Source organism: Homo sapiens, chromosome 14, assembly GCF_000001405.40.
Source record: "Homo sapiens chromosome 14, GRCh38.p14 Primary Assembly".
In the NCBI taxonomy this organism is placed as follows: Eukaryota; Metazoa; Chordata; class Mammalia; order Primates; family Hominidae; genus Homo; species Homo sapiens.
In genome coordinates, this window is record NC_000014.9 from 56,687,044 (window position 1) to 56,696,400 (window position 9,357).

Genomic DNA, 9,357 nt, shown 5'->3' on the forward strand with positions numbered 1-9,357 from the left:
GCCTTCTTAGAACTCCGCGATAGCAGATTTCATGATTTAATTGGAAATTTAGTAAATCTGCTAAAACATTTAGTGGTTTAAATTTTTCCTGTTCTGCAAAGAAACAAAGGCTTCTGGTTTACTCTGTGTCTTTCAACAACTTTAATTTCATTTGTAGATTATGGATGGAAGTAGCATTTCCACTCGATTGCATACTGGGCATTAAGAAGACAAAAACCTTCATTGTTTGCAGCCCTCAGAATTTTTTTTTCCAGACATTAAGCTGTAGGTGGCATTCTTTATACCTGACATCAGAGCACTTTTGTCAGGCGTTTAGTTGACAGGATTTACTGCAAGCCCGTCCTAGGTGTGTGAAGCAGGGAAAACAAGAAAATATTTCATTCAGGTGGACAGAGAGGAGTGCAGAGCCCGATCAGGCCGATCGGGTAACCGCTGCTTTTCAAACTGTGTAATTAAAGATCTTTAGAGTTCTTCGAAGGGAATTAATTAGTAGAGAAAGGCTGTTTTGTTTACAGTCTTTATCATCAACATAATCAAAAGCAAGCCTTGATATTGGTGGCAAATTGGACTGAACTCTCCCGAAGCCAAGAAGGCCTCCTGCAGCGCTTTTCTTGTTTTTTGAGGTTAGTTCCATCTGCAGTTAACTTGCTGTTGGGTGTCGGGGACAGAGTGGGATGCAGTACATTGCAGATGGAGTAGGGGAGGGACACACTCAGTATTGTCAAAACCCCCTCAGCCATGTTCCCATCACTAATTGCCCACCTGTGCGTGGTGCAGCAGTGGGTTGGGATTAATGTTTAGGTTCAACTGTCTAGATGGCTTGTTCATGAGTGACTATGTTTTCAGGTCTGAACCATGCACCTGGGAAGCCCTAAAAAGATCATCCGGTAACATGTCACAGTGGATGTCACTGTCCCTGCCTGGTGGCATCAGAAATACCTGCACTGCTTCAAAATAAATGCAATTTTTGAGTCCCACCTAGTCTAGGACCTCCTGGGATAGGGCTCAGGAATCTGTTATTAACTCACTGCCCAGGTGCTTCTGATATGCAGCCAGGTTTGGGAACTACTGATCTAAATTATTTGGTAACCTAGGACATGAACATGAAGAGGGGAGAAAGGCAAGGGTGCCCAGGAGATGACCTCAGGCCAGAAAAGGCCGGTCACAACGCATTAGACCCATGGCCTCCGAATAGAGACTAAAGCTGCTGGGCGACAGGGCCAGCTGGCCAAGTCCAACAAAAGACTTGAAGGACTATCCTGTGCACCTTGACTGAGCAACAAGGGCCAGTCCCCAAGCTGAGAGAGCCTGCAGGACAGCTCCAGCCCCATTGCCCATGTTCCTCTCAGGATCCCGTTTCATGGTGCCAGGAAATGTTCCAAAGGACCCACAGATTTAAAGGAAGGAGCTCTAGTTGATCACATGATTATCCAGTGTGTAAGAAGTAGGTCTCAGTGGAATCTGGGTTTCACAGGCCCAATGTGATCTGATGATCTATGTGAGAATATTCTGGATCCTATCTTGTCTTAGTCATGATAAGTGCTCAGAGACTTTTTCCTCAGTTGTTCCCGGTTGGTCCTTACTTGGCCACCTATGCAATCCTTACCCACCATTTCCTCTGGATTTTATAGGAGATCTAGCCCTAGCCCCTGAGTTTCCATTTCAATGAAAAGTTTATATTGTACAAGTAATACAATGTGGTGTTTAAAAAATGTTTTTAAACAAGTACAGGTGTTTAAAATGAAGAGTGAAAGTTCTTCCTGTAATCTCATCCTTCGGAGATAATCCCTGGTAATGGGGTCAACTACTTCATTTAAAGATGTGGATACTAGGCTTCAGAGAGGTGAAGTCAAGCAGTCATTCTGTAGCAGAGCAAGAGCAGGGGTCCCTGACCCCGTCGCCCAGTGCTCTTTCCACCCCCTCCTCTGTGCAAGAGGCCTCTCCCAGCACCTCAGGCCATTAGGAGCTTTTTGATGCCATCAACAGGGAGGTGACTAACCCATTCCTCATGTTCCCAAAACCTGAAGCCACACCTCAACCCCAGATTCTTCCAGATTACAGGGAACACATCCTGTGGCTGATTCCTCCTCCGCCTCCCTGGTCTTTATAGCCATCCATCATCATCACAAGGCTTCACTTTTCTGAATCTGGTTCTCAGTGAGGAAAGCAGAATTGTGTGGGCTTCATAACTGTTGGCCGGCTGCGGTCAGTGGGAGGAGCAACTGCAGCCATCTTGGAAAATGCCTTAGGAAGAGTCAAGAGGGTGAAGCAGGTTGGGTTATGGCCCTAGGAGAGCCTACTGGGCTATTCTGAGAGTTCTCCTAAGGGCCTTTTCACTTTTCCCTAATATTTCTGGAGACTCAAGCCTACCGGTGGTTGTTATATCTTTCTATAACATACAGTCTAATGATGGGGTGGGGAGTGGGTAGAGTTGTAGAATTAAATATCCTCAATTTCCAAGTAATGGGGGAGAATCCCGGAGCAGTTTGGTTATAGAGGCAACACTAACAACAGCACCCACAGCAAACTTAGAGGTTTAACAGCAAAAGTGGAGGTTGAAGCTTCAGGATGTGTTTTGTTGTTCACTAGTGAAGAGTCTCGCTTAGCCCCTTCACGGTATGTGCAGAGTCCTAGTACAACAATAAGTATCATTATATTATCCGCATTAAGCATCAAACGTGCCAGGCACCAGGATTGGTGTTCCACATAAATTACCGTATCCAATCTACTCTAGCAGAAGGTGTTATTATCATCTCCATGTTATAGATGAAGAGATTGAGGCCACCAGGCATGGTGGCTCACACCTGTAATCCCAACATTTTGAGACTTTGTAAGCCCAGCCACTTTTGGGGCGGGAGGACTGCTTGAGCCCAGGAGGTCGAGGCTGCAGTGAGCCGTGTTTGCGCCACTACTGTATTCCAGCCTGGGTGACAGAGCAAGACCTGTCTCAAAAAAAAAAAAAAAAAAAAAAAAAAACAGAAAAGAAATTTAGACTCAGAGAAGTTATCCAAGGTCACACAGCCAGTTGCTGATAGAGGCAGATTTCCAATCCAGGTTGATGTGATTGCAAAGTCTGAGAGTTTGTAAATATAAATGCAGGCCTGGTGTCAAATCTTGGCCTATATTCACCACATTCTGAGACGCGGCTTGTTGAGGAAGGTGAAGACAGCTAAGGTGAGGACTGGTTTTCCACTCTGCACCCCAGCAAGTGGAGGCTGAGCAGGGCTGTCCACGGCTGCTATGTTGGGTAGACCTTGTGGGGATACCATAGTCCCTGAAAACATGACAAGTGCAGACTCAGCTGGGTTTGGGAGTCTGTTATTCAGCCTGGCTGATTTATTAATTTTATGTTTAATCCCCTCTTCCCCTAGAAAAATGATCTCCACCTTTTTTGAAACCCTTTGCCAATAGTTCTGTTGACTGTAGTAATGTATACTGACCACAGCAATTGATAAAGAAATAAAGGTTTTGTCAGATCTCAGGGTGGAAGGAAGCTGAGGGGCTAGGAATCACTAAGAGAGACCCAGCCAGCTGGGAAGTAATTCCAGAGTAGCCGAGAGGCCAGAGTGGTTTTTGTTTTTTTTTTTTTCTTTTGCCATTTTAAAATTCGTGTCAGTAAAGCTAGGTTCTCCATGTGCCTCTCTGAGGAACCTCTTGCTTTTTAAGCTTAGTCTGAATCTCCTCTGTATTTGCCATGCCATTGTTGGAAGAGACCTTAATTTTAATTCTTTTCTTTTCTGTGGGCCCCTCCCTCCTCCCCAAATGTTTCAGCATCTGTTAATCCCAGCTGGAAACCTCAGCAGATAAAAGTCCTGTTCTATGTAGATTGCTTCCAGAACAAATACAGGGTGGTAGATAATTCAACGTTCAGTTTCAGGAGGGTTTAGGGTGGGGGCTGCAGAGGACAGCACCTCTTCCTCAGAAGACATCCGGTGAAAGCCAAAGGAAAGTAATTCCCAAGCTCAGATGGAATGCATGTAGATCAGGTTCATTTCCAGAACCGCCGCTGCCTGCATTGAGGTGATATTAGAAGCCACCATGACAGCAAAGTAGTTTTATGCATAGCGGCTTAGTGGACACTTTGAGAACTAGTTTAGTGAAGCTATCAGGTTGAAAAATACCAAGTCACAAAGTTTTAATGAAACTAAGTGTGGATCAACGTAGCATAAAGAGCATCCAGGACGACTTAAAAGATCCTTGGGTGGAAATTAGAATGGATCTTCGGGATTTATTTGGCAAAGCTGTCTATTTTGACCTTTTCCCATTTCATATTAAGGCTACTGAAAGTGTGTTTTGTTTGGCTGAGGCTGGAGGAGGACAGCAGCCACTGGTGCCGTTACACTGATGCTGCCAGTGAAGTTTAGCTGCATTAATTGACTGATAAGAGCCTGGGCCTCAAATAGCAGAGAGAAAGGCCATCGGAGATTTTCTTGCTTTATTTCTCTCTGCACTTCATTTACATCTTAAGCCATATTGGTGATCCAGATTTGAATAAAGCCACAGCTTAAGCAGTGATTAGATCTCAGTAGCTTGGATTTCTATGAAATTGCTGCATTTTTACTAGATGTATTTAGAAATACTGGTGAAAACTGACACCTTGGGTAACTTTATCATTTAAAACGGAGCTCTGAGTGGATAAAAACCCCCAGCTAAAATGGGGATATTAGTTGCCAGGCCTTTGACTCAAGTAGTGTCAGGGGTTAGAATTAGACAAAAGACAAGCTCAGCATGACTTGAACAAGAAAGAACGCAGATAAGTCAACCTACCACCTTCTTATAAGCCTCCTCTCCCCAAAAATGTTAATCGAAGCAGTGATCCCATCACCTGAAGAAAAATAAGGAAGCTGCAACGAATATATAATGCAGCAAGGAGCTTTTTTTATTGTGAGGTTTTTTTTTTAATCATAAAGCAATATTTTTAACTCTAAGGTTAACCTGCTAATCCTTAAGCTGGTGATATGACAGTGTCAAATGTGATGGGATTTTGTGATTCTCATTATTGTTATGTATTGTTCTTTCCCTGGCATTCCATATTAATATTTATAAATGCCCTTTTTATAGAAACAAGAGGACCAAACCCCATTATTAAATTTTTAAAATGGACAAACCTCGCATCCAATATAGTTGATTACAGTTTAGAACAAAAAGGATTTCGTTCGGTAGTAATCCACTTCTTGTTTCTCATTGTTGTTGATTTGTGTAGACAGCAGAGCTCCTGACGGTATTTTTTTTTTTAAACTACTGTTTGCACAAAGTAACATCCAAATGACAGAGAATAACAGAATGTTGATTGCACTCCACAAGGAGGAGGCAGAAAACCACCCTGTGCAGGTAAGAGGGCATAATGGAGAAAAGGTGAGTGCTTCAAGTACGAAAGTCACCCACCAAGAGCAACGGCAAGATGAAAGAATCGATTAAAATGTTTAAAAGAGGAGGTTGTTCATTCAGTTGTTCTCAACTGCCTCATTTTACTTGACAAGTGGCCTCAGAAGGGTTCAGTGGGCATCCATGTGTGTGAAGGAGGAAGTCTCCATAATAAAGAGAGGCAAATCAATCATTCCATGCCCTACCTATAGAGGAGAGTCAAAGTTGATGCCTAATCTACTCAGTCCGTTCTCTTTTAGCACCATGGGATGCAATCCAGAGTCAAAAAGGAGGAAAAAAGTCTCTTTGCTTAGAGACATTACTACGTTGCAAGATCTGGGTAGCTGAAGCCTTTAGCCCCAGTGAGGAATGTTTGTGGAAGGAAGATGTTTTCTGGCTGACTGGCCTCATCACTCCTTCTGTCTCCGAAAGGACCTGCGTAACTCGTAATTAACAGGAGTGTGTAGGAATAATTGGTTGTGGTTTTGGGGAGGAGGTGATTGGGTGGCCTGGTTTTGCTGAAGAGAAGTCAATGAGGAGAAAAGATAATATTTCTGCTCTTGAAGCCAAGAACTCAAAGCAGTGATAACAGATTATTAGAAATATCTCAACTCATCCTTTTGGAGAGAAGATGTTTTCATAGGGGATATTTTTATTCCTATTTATAATTTTCCCCCCTACTCAATACCTAAAGCCAGGGCTTCGGAATCAGATCTGAATTGAGTTCTGGCTCTTGCCCTTCCAACTGTATGATTATGAGCCTGGTTTTTTTGTTTTTGTTTGTTTGTTTGTTTGTTTGTTTTTTTGAGATGAAGTTTCTCTCTTGTTGCCCAAGCTAGAGTGCAGTGGCGCGATCTCGGCTCACTGCAACGTCTGCCTCCCAGGTTCAAGCGATTCTTCTGCCTCACCCTCCCAAGTAGCTGGGATTATAGGCATGCACCACCATGCTCGGCTAATTTTGTATTTTTAGTAAAGACGGGGTTTCACCATGTTGGTCAGGCTGGTCTCGAACTCCTGACCTCATTGTCCGTCCACCTCAGACTCCCAAAGTGCTGGGATTACAGGCATGAGTCACTGCGCCCAGCCATGGGCATGTTATTTGATCAAGTTTCCTTGATTATAAAATGTGGAAACTAGCACCTACTTCACACTGTTATGAGGATCAAATGAGATAACTCTATTTTGGACAGGACCTGGCACACAGTAAGCATGCAAGAAATGGTAGCTGTAATTAATACATTTATGACTTGGAGGTTTGAAACTCTGTTTCTTTCTGGATAATTTCCTCTGTTTTTCCTCTCCTTATTTGGGAATTGCAGCCCATGCATGTGGGTCTTTGGAACTCTAGGTTTGCACATGCAAAAAATAAACCAAGTGGGATATGTGGGGGCCTGGGTTGCTTGAGGAGTTCCAGGCTGTGTTTGGCCTTCTGGAATAAAGCACTTGGGCATTTGGTTTTAAACATATTGAAGGTGTTTTCCAATACCAATAAGGAAAGAGGAGCCAGAATTGATGGCTAGTGGTTCTGACAGTTATTCTATTAGAGTGCAGAGTTACGGCCACAGAAGGTAGTGTCTCAGCTCCCAGCTGAGTAGGATTGTATGTTCAAAGCAGCAACGGCGTAATCCAATTCCAATGAAACCCAAGTTTGGTGGAGCAATGAGAAGGCTATTCATCATGACCAATCTTTACAGAAACTGGCCTCGCCTTCTGGGGAAATGTGTCTTATGTTTCAAGCATGTGTAATGGCCTGGGTTTGCAATGTGGCCTTAGTTCAGAAAATATGCTAAGGATGAAGGCTTTCAGACTTCTCGAAAACTTGTCAGTCTCCCTCTCCGTGAATCCCTGAGTGCCCTGCTGTCTTTAAGCATCTTCATTTGAGTTTCTCCTAGAGGGACTCCTCCTGAGTACAGCTGGAGAGCTTTGCCACAGGCGCTTCTCTCCTCCTTTCCACAGAGGACCTCTCAAGCTTCCTTCACACTCTCCTCAGGCAGTTGGTGATCTGAGTCAGTCTCATGGGCTTTCCTTGTTTTCCCTCGAAAACTTCCACCACCTCTCACTGCCCCAAAAAGGTTCTTCTCCCACTGACTTTTCGGAATTTGCCTGTCCTCTGGTCCCTTTCCTCGGGAGGACCCTGAGGGAGCAAACCAGACCCTGGAGTGGAAAGCCCAATAAATGCTTGATCAGAATTGAATATGCATGCTTGGTAGCTGGCACTAGCCTAGTGGAATGGTAACTTTTCCTCTGATAACATTTCCTTTCAGCCAAGCACCTTTGATGACCTTTTGTCCATTGACTCAGGCCACCGTGAGCTCCTGCTGTTGCTGCAGCAGCCTCCTGTGCAGTTGGAGCCTGACATCCCTTCCTCGGCTGTCCTTCCTTTCTCCTGCCCCCACTCCCAGGCTTCTGTCTCCACAGCCCTGGTGCATGCACACAAAACCCAGGAAATGTGAGAGTCAACACTCCAGAGCGAACTTTGACCAAAGGATGGAAGAGCCAATAGGGGAAACCTCCCCTTTCCCATGCCTTTCAGTGGTTCCTCAGAAAGCCTCCCTGGGGGAACTCTCCCACTTGCCCATGGGAGTAACCAGCTCTGTAGCTCTGTAATGCACCCCTAAGTTGGCTTTCCCTTCCTCCTTTTTTTTTTTTTTTTTTTTTTTTGAGATGGACTCTTGCCCTGTTGCCCAGGCTGGAGTGCAGTGGAGCAATCTGAGCTCACTGCAACCTCTGCCTCCCAAGTTCAAGTGATTCTTGTGCCTCAGCCTCCCAAATAGCTGGGATTACAGGCATGCACCACTATGCCCGGATAGTTTTTATATTTTTATTAATAGTAGAGATGGAGTTTCACCATGTTGGCCAGGCTGGTCTTGAACTCCTGACCTCAGGCGATCCACCCACCTCAGCCTCCCAAAGTGATGGGATTACAGGCGTGAGCCACCAAGCCCAGCCCTTGTTTGGTTCTTCTTGATTCCCTCACACCAGACCCCTAGGATGGCTTATCAAAATAAACCACTGACACACAGGCCGTCGGCTCAGACTGCCCTTTCTGGGAGAAGCCAAGGTAAGACCTTATTTTAAACGGAAGACTTCTTAAGAGGGCTTCCTGTCTCCACGGGTGGAATTTCCATACTGCAGGATACATGTTGGCATAGTGCACTTCCCCGAAGCCCCCAAAGCTACCAAGGCACGATCTCACATGGCTTTCGTTCTGCTAGATTGTCAGGGCCTGCTTATTTGTTTATCTCCCACTTTATACTGAATTCAAGAACAGTGTCTTTGTTTTTTATTTTTCCGAGATGGAGTCTTGCTCTGTCTGCCCAGGCTGGAGTGCAATGACGTGATCTCAGCTTACTGCAACCTCTGCCTCCTGGGTTCAAGCAATTCTCCTGCCTCAGCCTCCCGAGTAGCTGGGATTACAGACGCCCGCCACCACGTCTGGCTAATTTTTGTATTTTTAGTAGAGACGGAGTTTCACCATGTGAGCCAGGCTGGTCTCGAACTCCTGACCCCGTGACAGTGTCTCTTCTTTCTGTATCCCTGTGCCTAGTACACTGTCTGGCAAGCGGTAGATCCTTAAAAATATTTTTGATGGATGAATGAATGAGGTGAATGCAAGCGAACCATGACTGTCCCCATGTAGGATATCACAGTTAACTATTTACTCTACTTAAACCCCACCTACATCCCCAAATAATTTAAACATAATACAACATAAAAATAATATAACAGAATTACACTTGATCTTAGCCAAAAGGCCGAGAAGTGATTGTAACAGAATTAAGTTAAATTTCAAGGGAAGAAAGAAGAGACACACTGTCTCCTGGATATTTCCCCCAACACACACAAAGAACACTCAGTTTTGTCACTGCATATCCACATCAATGACACCCTCCAGTATCATCATGGTTGAGCCCCTCACGGCGGCTACTGAGTAGTTGCACTCGCCTTGGTCCCTTTCTCCTGCTTTCCCAGTGACCCTTTAGAGATCTGCAT

At 44.7% G+C, this 9,357-nt stretch overlaps 1 pseudogene, besides 1 other annotated feature; it reads right to left on the bottom strand.

Annotated features, from left to right (window-relative positions):
• Positions 1,103-1,264: a silencer, noted in NCBI's record as "fragment chr14:57154864-57155025 (GRCh37/hg19 assembly coordinates)". NCBI's record gives its function as "represses an EF-1alpha promoter that drives an FKBP-Casp9 reporter gene in an ReSE screen in phorbol 12-myristate 13-acetate-treated (for megakaryocytic differentiation) K562 erythroleukemia cells {active_cell/tissue: K562(+PMA)}" and the evidence as "EXISTENCE:reporter gene assay evidence [ECO:0000049][PMID:32094911]".
• On the bottom strand, positions 8,960-9,131 carry LOC124903433 (uncharacterized; annotated as a pseudogene).
• Between the last annotated feature and the right edge of the window lie 226 nt (positions 9,132-9,357).